Below are 21,615 nucleotides of genomic sequence, written 5' to 3' on the forward strand. Positions count from 1 at the left end.
GAAAAGACAACAGATTCAAAAAAGTAAATACTGTATCATTTCACCTAGATGAATTATAAAAGCAGGTCAAACAAATCTAGTGATACAAATCTCAACAATGAATTCCTTTGTGGGTTGGGGTTGGCTAGAAGGTTACAAAATAAAACCCACTATGGTGATGAAAGTGTTTTCTATTTTATCTCACATGATGGATACATATATCCAATCAAGATTAATTGACTTGAACGTTTAATAACAAAAGCAAAACTGCCTTTATTCAGAGATAACAGGATTATGAACGAAGATATCTCATTGGGATCTACCCAAAAGCCAGCTACATTAGTAAGTTGCAGGATAAACAACCACAATTAATTTTATTTGTAAAATTTGGCAATATATAACTAAGAATTAAAATGATTTAAATACAATTTTGAATAGATTAGAAACATCAAACCAAATCAAATAGTATGAAAATTATATCTAAACTTTAAAATATATATATATATATAAATTTTAAATATGCTTACCCATAAAGAAAACAGTCATGTCACTCCAAATGTTTTGGAGTATTATTTTACAAAATAATACTTTATAGTTTATTTGCTTAATTTTCCTAGCAATCAGTTATTTTGGGGGACATAAAAAGTTATTTGTCTGTAATTAAGATACAATACTCTAAGTCTTATGTCAAAGCCCCCCGAGGTGGATATAGTCTAATAGCCCATCTTCCCTAGAAATAAACTACGTTTATAAGCAAGCTTTCTCTCTTCATAGATGTCTGCCATGACTGTGTAAGAGTCCCCTTACTTGGGGTTTTGCATATCCTAGAGATTTGCTTCATTTTTCCCCACTCCAAAAAGGACACCAGCTGTCCTTGAGACTTGTTTCTTACCTGGTCTTCCATTCTCCCACATATTAAAGTGTACAGTACTGGGAATCTATTTTCTCTCTTTTCCCTGTCTCATCTAGTGAGTTGAGACTTTTTTGTTGCTTTCATTCTAATAGTGTTGGTTTTACCCTTTTACTAGAGTACTAACTTGTTATTCAGACTCACTTGCTAGGTGGCAGAGAAAATTTTTTATTCATCTTTGTCCATAGAAAGTAGTCAATAAATACATATTTCTATGCCTAGTTGTATTACAAATAAAGCATGTTAGGATATTCACTAATTCCAATTTAAAGAGTAAGTTACATAGCTTTTCTTTAGATTCAAATGATAGCTGGAAAGAGAAAGGAGAGGAATTGACAACGAGTAATTACATGTACATTTGCTCAATATATATGTTTCTAAACATGAAACTGTCTAGGTTCAGACAATAGGCATTAGAATTTGAAGTTTAAGATGAAAGTTGATGCTGTTTAAATTTTTTTTATTTTATTATTATTATACTTTAAGTTTTAGGGTACATGTGCACAATGTGAAGGTTAGTTACATATGTATACATGTGCCATGCTGGTGTGCTGCACCCATTAACTCGTCATTTAGCATTAGGTATATCTCCTAATGCTATCCCTCCCCCCTCCCCCCACCCCACAACAGTCCCCGGTGTGTGATGTTCCCCTTCCTGAGTCCATGTGTTCTCATTGTTCAATTCCCGCCTATGAGTGAGAACACGCGGTGTTTGGTTTTTTGTCCTTGCGATAGTTTACTGAGAATGATTATTTCCAATTTCATCCATGTCCCTACAAAGGACATGAGCTCATCAGTTTTTATGGCTGCATAGTATTCCATGGTGTGTGTGTGCCACATTTTCTTAATCCAGTCTATCATTGTTGGACATTTGAGTTGGTTCCAAGTCTTTGCTATTGTGAATAGTGCCGCAATAAACATACGTGTGCATGTGTCTTGGATGCTGTTTAAATATTGAATGAGCCCTTTTAGCTAGAAAGGATGCTTTAAAATTGAAAGAGACGTTCATCTGAAAGGTAATAAAGAATGAGTTTTATTTGTGCAAGTATGATTCTTGATATGAATTACAGGAAACTATTATGTTGTTCTGTCTTAGATATTTCATGTTATCCTAGACCTATAATAGCAAATACAAGTAAATGCTAAGAGCATATTAAGGCTTTTTAGTTTAAAATGAAACATTAAAAACCTAAGTGCACTAGTGAAGCTTCTCGCTGGACATGTGATCCTTTACCTCCTGTTACGCACAATGGTAAGATGATCCATACAGGTTTTATACATATTTCTCAGGCTTGGATTTTTTTCTCAACATCATTTCTATCATAAGGAAAATATCTTTCCTGTAATTCACTACTCTTTGGTATTGTTACTGGATTTTTTTGTCTTGGTATTCATATATTATATGTCATTTGATTCATATAGTATTCATATATTATATGTCATTTCTTTGGTAGCTATCTCTTTCCTTTACTTCCTAAGACTACTTTTAGCTTTTTCTTGAGTGATTGTACTCTTTAAAGAAATGTACAGGAAGCCAGTATATTATAGAGAGAACTCTCCCAGTCTAAAGTTATAACATTATATGCAGTCTAAATATGACACAGAAACATGACACATAGAGTAAACCCAGCTGCCAGTTTCAAGCAAGAACAAAGCATGCAGCTTATGAATTTATGGCTATCATCTTTGACCCTGAATTGATTGAGAAGTTTACCATAATTAATCTTCACCCATGACCAGCGTAGTTCTCTATGAAGTTGCATGTATATAATTGGGACAGAGATGTGGCTGTTCTGCAACTCACAGAGAAACTAACTACTTTGCTCCCTGATGAGAAGCCAATTTATGATGGTTTAGAAGTTGACCCATCTGTGTGACTATCTAAATCCATGTCACTAAACTAAAGTTTAGATCTCTTTTCGGTTTTCCAGCTTTAATATTCTGGCCCAAGTAAAGAAAACAATAAGTTTCCCTTTATTCATTTCACTTTCAGAAAAGTGTTTGTACCCCCTGTCATGAAATAAAGAGTATTGTTGAACAATGTTATTTTAGATATGGGGTGGCCAAGCGTGCAGAAATTGAGGAAGAAAAGAATATTTTAAAAAAATTTATGTAAAGTATTTGACTTTGGATACAAAAAAGAAAGGCTTACTAAGCATTACATGTGTAGGAATAGCAAAGATTCCTATAACAAAGAAGTTAATGAACTTTTAAACAAAATAAACTTTCGCTTAGTAAGGGAAGGAGAGGCAAATTATAGTCATCTAACAATATCATCTGCTCCTGTTTCCTTAACGAAGACTTTTTTTTCCAGTTTAGCATTGTACTCAATTAAAACGCTCACCTTGTTAACATTTTTAAAGCCAGGTATAGTCATATGATCTAGTTCTGGTCAACGGGATATCGTTAGATGTCATTCGGTGGGTGTTCTTACAAAGCTTTTAAAAGGAGAAAGAATTGGCTGGAATCTGCTTTTTGCTTTTTGCCCTTGGCCTCTCCCCTTTCTCCTGTGTGGATGCAATGGCTGGAGACAGAACGGCCACATTGTGAACATGAGGATTAAAGCCAAACTCCACAGAGGGTGGAATTGAAAGTAAAAAGACTTTGTGAGGATATAGTGAAGCTCCCATATCAGGTCTTACCTATTTCCTCTGTCTCTTTTTATTAGGAGAAAAAAAAAATCCTGTTTAGTTAAGTCGTTACTGTGCAGCTGACAAAATCTCAATTGATACAACCAGCTTCTATTAGTAATTTTTTTCATGTAATGACATGTTGAAAACATTGTATTGTTTTCATAAGCGCTGCAAGTTAGAATTACTCTTGATAAAGGAAACTCAAAGTAAAAATAGAACAGTCTAAAGTGGGCCCTGACAGTGCACTTGAGTGTTTTATCAAACCAGCAAGCAAGGGTAGCTTGGTCTACTCAAGCCTCTGGCTTGAGCAACACTTCTTGTGGAAGATTTGTGGAGGACTCTTAGATGCCATGTGTGCTTTTCCAACTTAAATGATTTCATGATATTTAGCACAATTTCAGTGGGATATTGCTGAGAAAATAACAGAAAGTACTATTTATCCAAATTTATTTCTGTGCCTATGCATTCTATATGCACTGTGATTTAAATTACCCTATAGATGTTGAAATTTTCATTATGCTTATACTTCAAAGATGGAAATAAAATAAGAGTAAAACAAAAGAAAGCAGAATGTATTTTTTGAGAGCAAAAACTTTTCAAATTGCCCATGACCATAATTTTAGGGAAAACAACAAAAATTAATAATTACTCAAGAACCATATAATGAAGTAAACATTGTAGTTCAAACTCTGATTTTACACCAGATAATATAGTAAGAGAAATGCATAATCTTTATGTACCTGGTCTTTTTATTAGGAGCCCAACTCCTAAACTAGTATCTTCATAAGAAATTCACCATTATATCCTGAAATTGAAAAGAAACACACCGTGAAGTATATTTGCTAATATTATACAGGAAATATCAAAAAGTAAACTGTCTTTATATGAAAAGGCTGACATTCTTTCTGATATTTAAGAAAGAGTAAGGTGTACAAAGTGAAAGCCTGCTACTTTTAAAAACCTGAAGTGTTAGATTTATTACTCCTTGTGCATAGATGTTTGAAATCATTCTTTGTTCCTTGCTAAAAATAAACATTATCTTTTAAAGTCTTGGAGTGATTTAAATGAGTAAATGTATAAAAAATAAGTTTTATGCCATGATAAACACACTATATATAAACTTAAGAAAGTGAATATTGGCCAGGTGCAGTGACTCACGCTTGTAATCTTAACACTTTGGGAGGCCAAGGTGGGAGGATCAGTTGGATCCAGGAGTTTGAGACCAGCCTGGTCAACATGGTGAAACCCATCTCTACAAATAATACTAAAATTAGCTGGATGGGTTGAGGCTCCTGCGTAGTCCCAGCTCCTCGGGAAGCTGAGGTGGGAGGATCACTTGGGTCTGGGATGTTGAGGCTGCTGTGAGCTGTGATTCCATTTCTGCACTCCAGCCTGGGTTACAGACCTGGGTTAAGACCTTCTCTTAAAAAAAAGTGAATATTATAGACACCTGATTTTATTGATCATAGGGATCATGATGGTAATTGGTTGCTTAGTTTACTGTAAACAGTATTTTATTAACTTAAAGTCCTAAGGCCTAGTAATCACTAATCAGCCGTGTTAGCTTAGGTAAGGTGAATAACCTCTCTAGATTTGAATTGTCTTATTTATAAGGGGAAAAATATGAAGTATTCTTCAATCTCTATTAATTCATGAATACATGTGTGTAATATGTTGCTTTGAGCATATTCTACATCGAAAATTTGCAGATGTTACCCAAGAGGCACAGGGCAAAGAAACTTTTAGAAACACAGTTTTTAGGATCTGATCCTAGTCCTTGAAATAGTATGTCCTAGTTCTTATTGTTTCTTGTCTTTGAGTGGCTGCTGTTCCTGAGATTTAGTATGTAGCCAGAGTGAGGAAGCGTCCTTCCAACCACCGCCAAACTTCCTCATCTTTTGCAAGAGGGCTGCTTCTGAGGTCGTTCAACAGAAACTGTTACGCCAGTCACTCACTTGTGTATGCTGATTCTTGCTTGTCCTTCTGGGAGCTAGTCTTGGGGCAGGTCAGGCGACATACACTGGGTACCTTCATTTCCTTTATTTCGATGTTTCTTTTTTACAGCCTGCCATCTGAATAGAAATTACACTAAATGATATCCTTGACCTTGTCTGGTAAATGTGTTTGGAATTTGTGAATTGCTTCATTTTGATCAAATGATCTAAGTAGATGAGGAAATAATACAGCAGGTAGCACTCGATAAAATTTATATAGCTTCTTCCCCTTTTGTCTCACCTGCCAGCTAACAAAGTATACACACACACACAGGCACACACACACACATGCACACACAGAGGGAATCAGTATCACATTGAATTTATGGTCTTACTCCTTGGCCTCATCTTGAACCTCTAGCACAGTGGCTTTTTGCAATTCATCAGAAGAGAAACTATAAGAAATTAATGAATGAATTGGCCTCATATATCACTACCAAAAGAAAACAATTCAAACATTAAGATGTTTAACACACTTTAAACCACCACGTTTATTCTCTTATCTAAAGGATATCGTAACAGAATCTTCATAAAGTTTTTAAGCATTATTAAAGATGACAACAAGAACAGGTAGTTCTAATTTTGCATCGTGTTTTGAATGGATTCTGCTCCTAGTTTCCAGGACTCTGAAGGCATCTAGGTAACTGAGATAATGTTCTGCACATGATCCTTCTCTTATGCTTGGTGCATATGCTTGTAAAAAGCCTGTTTGTCAAAAAAAATCAATTAATCTTAACTGTACAAATATTTGCTTAATAAGACTCCTTAGGGAGCCAATATTAATCAAAGGCTCAGAATGATCTGTAATTAGCACTTTAATTGTACATGTATTAGTGGATGTTTTGAAAGTGCTTAAGAGTTTTTTTTTTAAATGTTTTATTTCTTATTTTATTTAAAATATTTTATCCAACACTCTCTTTAAATTTCTTAATCTGGGACATCCTTGACTTTTACTTAAACTATGGTCCTAACCAAGCCTCCACTTAAACCTTGGTCACAGAAAGCTCAGGCAGTAACTTTTATATAACATCAATCAAAGCAGGCCTGTTGTCAGATTAAAACTCTCCAAAGCTTTTCCACAGACTAAAATAAAATTCAAATTTTCATCCCTGCTTACATTTACTGAGTCAATTCTTACCACTGCCTCCGTCACATTATATGTTCCAGCTATGCCAGCTTTCTTCATGCCTGAAGACTTGTCTCTCCTAGGGGCTTTGCATTTTCCGTGTCCTCTGCCAAGAACACCTCTCAGAGACTCCCTCTTGTCTTTTCTATTTCAATTTAACTGACACTCCAGGAATACCTTCCCTGACTCCTGAATCCAAAATATGACCCAATTCAACTAGTAACTCTCACAGTTTTTCTCTATTTCTACTCTTTTTTCAGCATTTGTTGCAATCTGAAATATTCTTTATTCTTTTTTGTTGATTTTTTGAGTTCTTTATGATGTGTCTGTCATTAGATGTGAGCTTCATGAAAGCAAGCACTTCTTGTTCAAAGCTGTATTCCTAAAACCTAGAATAACGCCTGTCAAATAATAGGTACTCAATATATACTAGTTAAACTGAAAAGTACAGGTTATGTAGAATCCTTTCTTCATCTCACATTTTTGACTTAACTTGGCTGTAATTCATGAGATTAAAAAAAATATACCTGGACTAGTATTATTTGTTTTATTATTCTTGTTATAGTGAGAAGTTTTATTCCTAGGAAATATCTGATTTTTCACATAAAACCTTTTGTTCATTTCACTGAAAACTTTGGAAGAAATGAAGGAACAATAGTGACTATTCTGAGACCTGCACAGTAACTCTTTTCCTTGAGAATTTCAAAACTTCATGTAGGCTGCTGATCTTAATAATACTTTTCTTCTTTTACAATATCTTTTTTAAAGAAATAGTATGTTAGAAATTCTACTAGGGAGGGCAACCTACGGTGTAAACTGCCATTAGTTTGCATCTCATCTGATTCTAAAGACTCTCTACCTGTTTTCCTATAAATTCGCTTGGATTTATCTTTGCCCCCAACTTATCTGGTGTTCTGTTGTCTACCTGAATGCCACTCTGTTTTCTTTGTGAACTCAAGTCTAAGAGAGATTAAAGTAAGGCCAGCTGAGTGATTTTCTAATAAGAAGCCACACTTTATTCTAATTTTTTCAGAGTTGAAGCAAATCACAGAGTCTAAAGTGAGAAGAGAGAGAGCCTGTGGTGTGGCTTCTTGTGAATGGTAGTATCACCTGTATCTGTACTCCAAAGTAAATGTGTCTTGTGCCCAATGGTATTTTCTGACAGCCCATAGAAGAGGATACCTTATTCTTTATGGGCTTCATTTTATTTTGATCTGATAAAAAATACGATTCCTGTACAGGTAGATGATCCCTGTTCATAGTAAACTGTAAAGAAAAATACTTGTCCTCTTTCCTCTGAGCCTTTAATATGGTAACAATCATGTTTTGAAATTCTGTAAGAGATATGATGTAAGCTAATTGAGATTCAATTACCACATCACATGCTTTTCGCTATGCAGAGGCTAACTGGGGATCTGTCTATTAGAAATTACTCATAGCCGGGTGAGAGCTAGATGAATAGCAATTTAGACCTTGAAAGACATGCAAGACTATAAATGGAAATAAAAGTGATGCTAATGGAAGATCACCCAAGAACTTTTCAGAATTCCCTATTGAGAAATGCTGATTTTCATATTTGACATTAGGGCTTATGATAATGACAAGACCTCAAGATTGAGTACAATTAGATCCATAAAATGTATTGCAAATATCTTGAAAACTATCTATTAAATTGAATCTTTGAGCTGGATTTGTCTCATTTTCTTATAATGATTCACAACATGAGAAATTGGAATTTACTTTTCTTTGTTATTAACGACCAACATAAATCCACATTATGTATCTAATTATTCAGAAGAGCCAAAGTGTTCTTTTCAAAACCAAAGACAAAATGTCACTCTTCTGCTCAAAACATGGTGATGGCTTATATTCCCGAGAATCAGTCTCAAAGTTCTCACCATGGCCTTCTAGGTCTCTGCCCTCATCACCTTCCTCTCCCTTGGTTCATCTGTTGAGGTAGCTGGGTCTCATGGATGTGCTGTGAGGCCTCCCCATTTCTCAGCCCTTTGCATATCCTACTTTCTTAGTAAGAAAATAGAATGTCATTGTTCCTTACTATTTCCTTAGTAGAGAATGTCTGTCTACATGGCTAATTCGCTCATTTCACTCTGCTCTTCCCAACAGTCTCCTTTTCAGAGAGATTTTCCCTGATTAAACCATTTAAGGTGGAATACTCCTCTTCCTAGAACCATCATACCAATACCCTTTACCCTGCTCTAATATCCTTCTTAGCACTTGCAACCAGGCACACTGCATTTCATTTATTTATCTCTACTCTATATTTTCACCATTAAAGGATAAGTTTCCCAAGGTTAAATACTTCAGATTTTTTTTATGACTCTGTCTCTGATACATATTAGGCATTTAACAAGTATCTGTCCACTGAATAAAGGATTTATGAGCCTTTGCTTTTGGGCTTCATCTAACTAAATCAGTTAATTGTGAATTCACTACTGAAAAAGAACAGAGTAAGAATTCTTATATAAATTAGTAGAGACTAGCCTTCCTCTTCTAGTAATGCTATTGTTAAAATTGCTTACATAAGATTAAATTTTAAAAATCTTTATAGTATGTAATCCTTTGAAATTCAAGATATTTCTTTACTGTGTAGAAAGCACATATTATGAAAAGTTTCTGTTTTCTCAGATATTTATAGTAAACCATACACCAAAAAGATTATTCTATGTATGATCACTTACACAAAAATATCTCTTCAAATGTAGTTATCATTAATTAGTTTTTATTAAGCAGAGAAATAATAATTAATAAAAGGGCAATTCAGCCCAAGATTGCTTTATATAGCATTATTTTTCAGCATTTTTTCATTGCATTCCAAGCAATAAAAATTATAACCAAAAGCATATTTTGTTTTAAACTATAATAGAATAAAATAATAGCATTGCCCATAATACTGTTAGCCAAATTAGTGTGCACTCAATATAGAATGTAAGCAGAAATAATGTCATAAGCAATTTTATATGAATTTCATTTTTAAGAAACTTTTAATTTCCTAAACTTGTTCCTTTTAATGTCAAAATAACTGCCTTTTATCTTAGAAGATGATTGCACAGAGATTATTTGCTTTAAATTTATTATATCATGTGGAATAATCAATTTACCTGCCACTAGTTAAAATTCCTAATATCATCTGATCTAACATTCTGAACAATTGTAGAAAGAGACTTTCTCATTTACCCATTTGTCCCCCTCTCTATTGAGAGATGTTTACAAAACTCATGCCTGTAGTTATATACACAAATTTTCATCCTCAGTGTAATAAGGAGATGAGGAAAACTTGAAAATGAAGATACAGACTCTATTTTTTTTTCTTAATGGCTTTTCCCTAAAAGAATTCATGTCAGCAGCAGGATGAGTCCTAGCACATTGCGGGATACTAGAGATAACCCTGACTCGATGGGAAAAATTCCATTTACTGCATCACAACTTCCTGTGGTTTGTGCCCAAATTTACCACAGTGAAATGCTCACACTCAATGTTATTTAAGTCATAAAACAATTTGTTATTATAGTCTGCAGGAAACTACACAAAAATGAAGGAAAATGGACCATGTGGAGCTTTTTATACCATTTACATTGTTCAAGTGGCCCCAATTTCCATGAGAAAAAAAATGCCTAAATAATCTACTTTGAAAATAAAGCCTCTTACCCAGATATTTTCTTTTTCAAAATGAGTACTGTGAGAAGCAGCAGCATTATTTAGAAGATGTAACCAGGTTTCGTGATAATTTTGTGCAATATGAGATTATTAATTCATTTCCACAAGTCTTTTTGAAGTATGTGTTATCAACAAGGAAATATTTATCAATACACAGTGATATATATTTATTATTATTTATATTTATAAAGAAACATTACTTAAAAGTATAGACGTGCCTTAAAAAACATTAATGTTCTAATCATTATTCATTTTCTTTGGTGTCAAACCTAAATATGGTAAATATTGCATTTTTAATGTTTAAAATAAAATAGTCATATATTACTATTGAATGAAACAAAATCAAATACTGAAAAATTCTATCATTTTTTTTCCTTAGGTGTCATATCAATAAAAAGGTAAGGTGTATAATTACCAATAAAATAGTTGAGGGGTGAATAGGAAATGCTTTCTGTACCTGTTTACAACATGTATATTTAATTAGTTAATCTGAGTCATGAGTGAATATGTGAAATAGAATAGTCAGTATTTTTTATAATATATGTTCCATTACTTACTGCTGCCCAACAAATTACCCCAAAACTTAGCAGCTTAAAACAAAAACTATTTATCATAGTTCATGATTTTGTGGGTAAGGATTCAGCTGGGTGATTTTTTTTACTCTATATGTCATTGACCAAGGCCAGCAATTGTTGTTCAGCAGCCTCAAGAAATAATACAGAAGGTTGAAGCAGCTTTACTCACAAACTTAATGCCTTGGCTGAGATGGCTGGAAGGCAGGGCTCAGCTGGGACTGTTGACCACAGTATTTACACCTGACCATCTCAGCATGATCCTGTCAGAGCATTTAGACATCTCACATGGCAGCAAAAAGCTCCCAGACTGACCGTTTCAAGAGATGGGAAATGGAAGCTGCCTATTTCTTAAGACCTGGACCCAGAAAATAGCACGATTTCTCTTTTGCCATTTTCTACTGGTCTAAGAGTAGAATATACATTCCTTGTATCAGGACGTGGGATCTATGTTCCCCTCCCTTGAATCAGAGCCCACTCAGAATCTGAATGTATAGCAGGAATTCCAATTGAGACTAAAGATACCTTGCGATGTAGAGGAGTATATTTTGCTATGAGAAAACATCCTCTCTCTTTGACGTTAAGACCTTACTTCACCAGTTTTATTCCCTTCCCCAATGTACTGTAGAAAATGTTAGTCTACTTGTGAACAAAAATGGAAACAAAACAAACTCTCACAATAAAAGAACCTTCCCTTGACTCCGTAGGACTCTTTTATTACATATTTTTTTTCTGTTCCATTCACCTTCAAACTTCTCACTAGAGTACTATGTAAGCAGTGTCTCCACGCCTGCTACTCTATCCATGGCAATGTGGCTTCTTTCCCAGGTGTTTTTGCAGAAATGCCTCTCTTTTCAGCAACGGCTTTGTAATTCTGAACACAATGAACCTTCATTGGTCAGGTATTAACAGCCTTCTCTGATGCCTTTGACACTGTTGATCCCTCCTTATATCTGGAAATCATTCATTGGCCTTCCGAGTTGTCACAATCTCCTGGTTCCCCGGTTTCCACGCTCTCTTCTCTGGAGACTCCTCTTGCTTTGTCTGTAGATAATTAGCTTTCTTCAGAGTTCTGCCACTAGGGTCTGCTATTTTCATTCTGCAATATCTCCTTGGGTGATGTCATCTTTGTTCACACTTATAAATAACCCCTTTATGCTGATGACTTGCATAGTTAGATCTCTTTCTCAGAATTCCTAGCAGAACCTCAGATCTAACGTCCAAATGCCAAATGCCAGCTATATATCTCTGAGTAGATAGATGCTTCAAATTTGACCTAACCTGGATCGTTCTCTCACATTTATTGTATCTTTTCGGCAACATCAGCGTTCATTAGGTCAGTCATGTTCTAAAACTGGGCTCTATCTTTGGTTTGTCTCTCTCCTTGTCCTTTTGCAACTCTCCAGCTACTTATACCCCTTAAATAACAAAGTCCTGTTGATATACATACTAAATATTTCCTGGGTTTTAAAACTCTCCTCTCATTTCCTACTAACACTGCTCTGATTTGTTTAATATTATCTTTTGAAAGAAGTATTACAACTGCCTCTTACTTGTTTCTCTACCTAGACTTGTGTCCACTCACATACCAGAAAGAACTCTGAACACGTGACAGTAACACCACTATGCTTCACAACTTTCAATGTCTCTCCATTGCCAAGAACAATATTTTTAAAACTGCAGATAGACACTCATTAATAAATTATACAATTAGTTTAGTAGATCTCGATGAGTGTTTTTAATGAAATAGAACATGCTATGTAGAATATTACAGAGAGCTTTGCATTTAGTAAAAGTCAGATATGATCCAACTGGTTCAGGTGTGTGTGTATACCTACTGGGTAGCAATAAATTTTTCTTTTTTTTTGGTTCCAGACCAGTGGAAACTTTGCATTCCCTGGGGCATGCAAGATAATGCATTGTGGGCCAAAAAGATGATTTAGAAATTCTATTTATTTTCTCTAAAATGGTAAGGAATAATTTGAGCTTTTCTTGTATTCAATATGCAGATGGGAATTGGTGTGATTTCTTGCTCAATATGTCAGTTCAATTCACATGACTCGAAAGAATTTGCATTATCAAGAAGAAAGAATAAATGCTTCACAGAGGGAAATTTGAACATAATGTCCTCATTTATTAAATCTCTTTCAGTGTATGGTAGTTTATCTTTACCTGCTTAACTAAATTAGTGGATTATATTATTAGAATTTTCCATCAACTAACCATCACAAATAACCCCATGGCCTAGAAAGTACATACAAAGAAACCACAGAGTCAAGACTTTTCTATAAGAAAATAAGGGAATATTGGAGCTGACATTTCTTGTCCTGCCAGGAGCTCTTCATTTGTCACAATTAACAATTAAAAATTATTACAATACTAAATCAAAATGATCAAAATAATTGCACCAAAGGCATACTTTTCTAGGGCAGCAACAAAAATAAAATGAGGTAATTCAATTGATTTTGTATGAAGGTCCATACTAATTACATGTAACTGCTTCAATGCATCTTCAAGAATCTACTAGACAAAAATTTCTCTAGTGTTTATTCTAGCCAGGCACTAGGCCAGGTGCGGACTCATATGTCATTTCCTTCCCAAGTCTTCTTTCTGCTAGGTTGAGTTTCATTCCTCCCCCAGCATCCCCATGATAACCTATGTACCCTTCTCTCATTGCACTCACCCTAGAAAAGGATGCCTCCCCCATGAGTAGTTACATAATTAGACTCATAGTCCCTGCATCCTGGACATTTTCTGGCAGAGGGCTGACACACAAGTGAATCCAAGTATGTGAGTGTGTGTGTTCGTGTATGTGTATACATTTATGAAACTAGTCTAGGAAGTGCTTTCGTTTACTCTTTAATCTGAGCACAAGGGTTAGAAGTGCAAGAAGAAGTTTGCTTCATTAAAATAAAGATGATTTATTCCTATCTGTAACCTTCTTTGGGTATCATGTGTTTATTCATGAATATTCTGTGCACATAAAAATATCTTAATCAGAGGAAAGTGAAAGGGTATTTACAATCTGTTATGTACATAATTGTATATGAGTCTTTGCACATACTGTATTGACTGCACATTTGCTGATGTGAGAAAAAGCAAAACAAGAAACTTAAAGATTAGCTGCATATCAAATGTTTACTATAGTATTTGCACATTGAATAAAGTGAAAGGGTATTTACAATCTGTTATATACGTAATTGTATATGAGTCTTTGCACATACTGTATTGACTGCACATTTGCTGATGTGAGAAAAAGCAAAACAAGAAACTTAAAGATTAGCTGCATATCAAATGTTTACTCTAGTATTTGAATGAGACATATTTTCAAGTTGATATTTTCAAACTGTGACTGCTATAGATTTTGTATAACATCAACATCACTTAAAAAATGTATAGGTTTACATCATTACTTCTGGCTCCTGGCAATTATTTGACCATATCAACTTGTTTCACTTCTAGAAACCAGAATGGTTACTATAATATTAAATTTACTAAGGAATTCACATTGCATGTATCACACCACGAAGATTCCCTTAGGTTTTCCATAATATCAGTACATAAGCCAGCACTAAAGAATAAAGCAATAAAAATATAAACTATATCTAATGGAATGTCTTTTATAAGAGATTACTTAGAAGAAATTATGGTTAAAAGAGTGTTCCCCTACTTGATCTACAAGAAGAGCCACTTGATTGTCAACTGATAACATAGTTAAGTAACTGGCATCAATTTCTTTCTGTTACTATTAGGTTTACGTGTGTTTAATTATAACATGAAAAAAATACATGATGGGTTTTTTTGTACAAATACAATAAAATTGTATATTTCCCTTTTGTTACTTTATACATTAAGAATAATGTTTCCACAACCAGGACTATACATAAGTGTTTATATTTCCTATTTGCATTAAAGAATCTTTATGTGCAGAGTCTAAGAATATTAGTGTCTCATTCTGTACAGAAGCTAAAAATTTTAAAACTTCCTGACTTTCAGACTTGCCTCTCCCAACAGACTATTGCTATCAAGGTTGAACAACATGTACCTAGTACAATCTAGCTGATTTCTACCTTAGGTAGAAATTGATGTGAAATTCTATAAACAATGTTCAACCTAATTGAAATAATTGAGAGGGCTTAACCTTTTGTTTGAAAATAGTTTTTATATGGTAAAATATTTGACGTCTCCAACTCCCAAACTGTACCTTAACCATGGGAACACAATCTTTTCCTAAGTTGCATCTACATCTATAACAGATATCTTCTACTTCGGGTTAGCTGATGAGAATAACTTCAAACATTGAGCATAGAAATTGAATCTTTGTGTAAGCAAGTGAGTCAGAATCCTGTATTTACAGATTGTCAGTCTCTGAGTTGGTCGTCATGGGAGTGGGATGAGACCAATGCTTGCACATGCTTTTATCATTACTGCCCAAATCCAGTGAGACAGACAAGGAAGCCTTTGCTTCTCTAGTACTAACTCCATTAGAACCTCTCACAATGATTAGGACTAGGAAATGCTAACCCTTCCCCAGCCTCACCAAACATGCATCCTGAGGCTCTTCCAGAACCAGATCAAACACTTGACCACAAATGGGGAATATGGAGATCTTCCCTGAAGAATAATGAGATTTTCCTTGGACATTATTGGTTGAAAGTGAAGGCAAGGAAGAATAAGCGAATTAAATCCAGTTCCATATGTGAGCATCAGCATGAGTTCACTTTCCCCACCAAAGAAAACTGTTTCTAATTTTCTTTCTAAATAATTAAGAAATAAGAGCATCTAGTCAAGGGAAACAGTTTCATTCCATGGAACTAGAGAATCTAAGTCAAATTGGAATAAATAATTCCATTGGCATGGCCTTGATTTTGTACTTTTTGTAATACTAGAAACCTGCATTATGGTTTTGAATAAAAGTTGGCTTTTTCCTCTCCCTGCCTGATTGTAAAGAGCTCTGCTTTTTCTAACCAGGAAGAGTAGAATGTGATGTAATTTTTGTTTAATTCTTTTATTTAGTAATTGAGAAAGGAAGAGGGTTAGTTCAGCACACTGCATTTAAACAGAATATCAGTTTGGCTATTTTGACTTTATAGAAGTCTGTAAATAAGAAGTCATTTATATGTGCATAATTTGGATGGACAGTTTCATGGACACTCTTGGATGGAGCACTTGGATGGCCCATAGAACACTCTGTTTGTCCCTATCATAGTACGTATTGTATTGTGTTAAGATGCTTATTTGCTTAAATGTGTCTCCCAAAAGGTGGTGATGACTTTGAAGCCAGCGACTATGACTTGTTCACTTCTGTATTTCCAGTTCTTAATACAATGGCTTACATACCATAAATAAATTGGTGCTCAACAGTATAGTCATTGAATGTAAAAATGAAGATTGCATCAGCTGGTTTATGACATGTAACAAACCACCCACAAAGTTGGTGCTTAAAACTAATCGTTATCATTGTTCATGAGTCTGTTGGTCATGTGAGCATTTCTGCTGATCTTGTCAGACTAAGCTGATCGTTGCTGGGCTCACTCGTGCTTCTGTGGTCAGTAATGGACTTGGTCATGGGCCATGATATCTGAAATGGTCTTATTGTCACAGCTGATGTTTCTCTCTCTACTAGCCTGGCTAATGAAGGTGGCTATACCATGTCTCTCATCATCCAACAGTCTAGGGAGAGTTTGTTCACATGGCAGCAGATGGTAGGAGTTCCAAGAACTTAATAAAAATTGCAAGTCCTCTTGAAGCCTAGATTCAGAGGGGCAATTACATTTTTGACTCATTTCTTTTATCAAAGCCAGTCTGAAGACAAACTTGTATTCAATATATGGAAAAAACGAGTCCCCCCTCCCATGTTTTCATGGAAGGAGCTATGAATTATGGTGGTCATGTTTGAAATTCACTACAAATGATAAAGCATCCAGAATGTCACAAGAGACTAAGCTACAGTGAAATCTGAAATCTCCTCTCTGTGACATTAGCAACATCGTTAATATCTTAATCCTTTTTCTGCCTGGGATCTGAATCCCTTTCAAAAACCCACATTTATTTAGGTCAAATAATTAAAATGAAGGCAACTAACTTAAATGAAATCACTTACAATTTTATTTTAGACAGCCATAATAAACACAAGTAGATAAACACAATAACAGTTTAATGAAAAATAGCCGTGTTCTCTAAACAAAAAATAGTAAGAATAGCAGTAGTGGTTCATATTTTTACACATCTCTTTATATAAGGTTTAATTTTAAAAGTAGTTGGATTATCAGAGAAAAAAACTCCCCTTACATGCTAGTTATTAGCTTTACGCCTTGTAAATGTTTTTCTTTCTGTGAATTGTCCAACCCCTTAGCCTCTGTCTACCTGGGGAAACTAGACAGAATTGAAAATTTAAGCAAAAATTCTACTCTGGTTATAGAAAGCTGTTTTGAGAATGACTGGCAATTTCAGTGGCCTGCTGCAAGTGGTTTATTTTAGTTTTATTTTATGTCTTGATTCCACTCAGCCTTAAGAAGACCATAGCTTGGATAATAATAGTTCATTTCTGAAATGGGCTCAACAAAAGAAAGCATTCACCATACTTTTAGCATTCTTTTATCAGTGTGACTATCGTACGCTTTCTTCTTCTTTTTTTTTTTTTTCAGATGGTCTATAGCACTGTAGCATAAAGTATTATAAGAACCCCTCCAGAGTTCACGGGCATCATTAGATGGAATCACTGAGTTAGATGATATCTATAAAGAGATATTGAGGATGTCATTAAAATAAACATTAAGCATTGTGAGGTAGAACATGAAATTCTCTATAAAGGAGTTTTCAGAATTAGATTTCAGTAAAACTGTGAGACTGAAGAAATGTTGTCTTGGCAACCTATGAGTTACCTTAAATTTGGCATCCTAATTTGTGTTAGAAAGTTTTCTGTATTCACTAAATCCTCACTGATAATGTTTGGGTAGTTTTTGTAGTCAATGTTCAAGGATAGGACTATTTCAAAACCAGGAAAAATGGCTTTAAGCAAAGGCAAATAGATAAGGGTGGCAAACTTCGTATCACACTGTGGAGGTCACTAACTACTCAAATAATCTTGAGTACTTCCACGCATGCAGTCATGTATTCATCTAATAAACATTTATTGAGCACCTTCTATATATGAAGCCCTGAGGCAATTATAAAGAAGAATGAGGTGCATCCTTATCCTCAATAATTATACTGCCTGGAAAAGAAAGCCTACAGCTAAGTTGTTGATGAAATATGAAGTAGAAATGAATATAAAGTGCTCAGGTAGCATACAAGGAAAGCAACTAAATATTATCAGGAGAGCTACTGGTGAATTAATGAGGCACTTACATAACATAGAAGATAGATTAAAAAAAACTAGTTGCAAGTAAAGTAGAATTCAAGCAGTGTGAATGGCACAAACCAAAGCAAAAAACTAGAAAGTAATTTAGTCTCTTTGAGAAATTTTTCTAAAGCATAAGTCATATTGTTTTGGGGGAAGATAAGAGTAGAGTTAGGTAAAATATCATAAAGTCAGAATTGCTAGTGTTCAAATTATTGATTCATGTGCAAACATTTTTATCTAGTGTAGCACATGCTCTGATCCTTCTAAGTCATATTTGAATCATTTATCTTCTATGCCCTTCATAGGTACTTGGATTCTGTTACTTTTCATATTGCATTGCACTGTTTCGTAATATCTGTATTTTTACTTTAATCCTGAGAAGAAGACTGTGTCTTATATTTCTATCTCCTTCATGTGGAAGAATGCAAAGTACTTATCATATTTGTTGAATGCTTTTCTATCTTCCTAAAATCTTAATTCTTCCTATTCTTGGTCTTAAAATAGTTATCTACTTTCTTAATGAGCCTACTTTATTGTTCCAAGCTAGTAACACCAACTGATAACTTTGAACTGAAACAAATAATTCACTTAGGTCTAAATTGGTTTCCCAGTCCCAGTGGATTCAGCAAAAACACTGAGGCTTAGAAATGTACACCAGTGGCCAAGCATCTTCACACAATGTCATTTGTACCAGGGTTTGTCCAAATATAGAGAACCACACAGTCAAAGAAACCATGGATTTTACCCAAGTCATCTATTTGAACAAATTTGTTTGTGTCTCCTGTTCTTTTATTATCCCCATGTATGCTTTTAATCAGCTAGATGTAGAGTAGTACACAGTCTTTGCTTCCAGCTTTTAAAGACGTGTGAAAATCCAAGAATCAGTGGTGATCCATTATCTAGCAATATTACTGAGCAAATATGAGCTCACTGCCCACAACAGATAGAAACCAATACTCTAGCAATGGCTTTTGTGAAAAGAAAGTCTTTATTTTGCCAGGCTGGCCAGCAAGGGCACAGGTGATGCAACTCAAATCTGTCTTACTAATTTGGGGTCTGGGGAAAGTTTTAAGGGGCCAGAGGACAAGGGAAAGGATTAAGAAATGTTGATTTGGCAGAGTCTAATTGAAGGTCTTCAAATTTGACCATTTATGGTAAGCCATGTTGAGGAGGATTTTAGCTCCTGATCTTTTGGGCCAGTGGACCCCTGGCTTTTGAAACGGTTCCAGGGTTTAGGTTCTGGTTGTATCCTGGTCTTCTTGGTTCCACAGGGAGGAATCATGGGTTCTGGGTGTTGCTAAAGGTCAAAACTTTTTCTGTTGTGCATGCTTGGGCTACATGATTGGCAATTTTGACTCTGTTATTCCTACAAGGTAACTTGGCATTCTGTCATCAACAAAGTAGGCCCGGGTTGGGCTGGTCCTGTTGTTATAGTAAGGATACATCAAATCTGTGAAAATATTCAGAAAATTCAATTTCTTATGGCCATATTCAGAAGATTTATATCTATGGAATTACATGCAAACATATGGTGAAAGAAATAGTCATAAAATAACTCATGAGAGATCTTCTGAATACCTGTTTAAATTGAAAATGAAATCCATAATATTGACATAAAACAAGGTCCTATGCCTGCATTGCACTGTTAATAGGATAGCCCCATGAGTGATTTAAGGCATATTTAGATATCATGCTTCAGGCATTGTTGCCTTTTATTGACAAAAGAGATTGCACGATGGTTGTTTTTGAGAAGTTATTGCTTTCTGTGCAAGAGTCCTGCACACAGAAAAAAAGTATTGGGCTTCTGAAACTGTGAAATTGCTACTGAATATTACCTGAGGAAAACTGAAGTGATGTGCAGAGTTGTGATACTGTAGGCATTCTCCCAGTTGTTCATTTTATCCCTGCTAATCTCCTTGCTTCCAGCTTTCTTTGAAGTTATTTTTATTTTCTCCTCTTTACACTTCAGCGAATGCTCTCCCTATGTGAGAAAAACTGAAGACCAAAGTTCATAGATGTTTACTGTCCTCTTGGCTAACACATGCATGACAGAGTCTTATACTAAAAATACCTAGCAAACTGCTTGTGGGTTTTTTTTCTCTTATGAGTAGAAAGGGTACTAGCTTGTGTATGTATTTTTTCTTAATGAAAATATGCTGCTACTATGACTCCAAGAATCATTGATAACCAAACTTGGTGACATGTTTTCAATTGATTACACTGTCATCAGTATCGGTTTTCTAGGATTGAACTCAGTGGCATGTAATTTGGTTCCTGAACACTAATGCATTGCTAGGAGCACGTGTGTGACTGAGTAGTTGACTTTAACATCACCCTCTGCCACTCCATTTCTGTCAGTGCCTCCTTATTAGAAATATACCTAGAGAAAAGTCACACATTCTGGCAGCTTGCAGTATAATATGAGATGCCTTCTAGGTGTAAAATAAAAATACTAGAAGCACATTTAAATAATTTTTAACTTCCATGTTGTGATTAGATGAATAAACCTTACAAAATGAAAAATAAACCTCTATACTCATTACTTTCCTGCATCTTTCTAAATCCATGTTTCAAAGGAGATCTTTAAATTGACCTCAACAATGGAGACAACTTAGGAAGTAAATCAGTTGCTGAGATGTCAGTTATTTCAAATGTTGTAGGACTTGTTGATGTACAAGGTATAGTAATAATATTAGAGATTTATTGATGTATTTATTTCTTTAAAATGTGTCAACTTACACAAAATGTATAGTGTCACCATTTTAGTAAAAGTTCAAGTATCATCCAGCCATCAATCCTTCTATTTAAGAAACGTTCGACGAGTAGGAGATCAAGTATCATCCCTCCATCAATCCTTTTATTTAAGAAACATTCGAAGAATAGGATATAGCAGCACACTTCACGTGCTCAGGCTTTGGTAGGATGCACAAGAACACAAACAATTACAGTGCAGAGTAGCAAGTTTAGTAAAACAAGTTAGTTCATACAGAATATTTTAGAATCACAGGGAGCAAAGCCTTCAATTCTGCTTACATATGTCCAGTAATTCCTCAGAGATGAGTTCAATCTTCAGCTGGTTCCAAGGAATAAGTAGTACTTTGCCAAACCAGTAAATGGTAGGAGGTATTTCAAAAAACTAGAGACAGAATATGGAAATGCAAGAGTCATGAAATTGCTTGACACGTTTAGGAACCCTCTACGCAGTTGGTTGCTGGAGCAAAAAAATTCGAAAGAACTTGCAGCAAACGCTGCTGAAGAGAACTAAATCATGGCCTCTTTGCTATGCACAGCTGAAAGATTTCTCACTATATTATCTAGGCAATTGTGAGGAGTTATTTATGGTTTCCACCAGAGTAATGAAAGATCATAATATCAGCATTG

At 34.9% G+C, this 21,615-nt stretch overlaps 1 protein-coding gene across 29 annotated transcripts in view; it reads left to right on the top strand.

The window, feature by feature from the left end:
• The window catches only part of ROBO2 (roundabout guidance receptor 2), a 1,743,290-nt gene that overhangs the window by 450,748 nt on the left and 1,270,927 nt on the right, over nucleotides 1–21,615 (top strand). The gene's annotated exons all lie outside the window — the stretch shown is intronic.

Source organism: Homo sapiens, chromosome 3, assembly GCF_000001405.40.
Source record: "Homo sapiens chromosome 3, GRCh38.p14 Primary Assembly".
NCBI classification, from domain to species: Eukaryota; Metazoa; Chordata; class Mammalia; order Primates; family Hominidae; genus Homo; species Homo sapiens.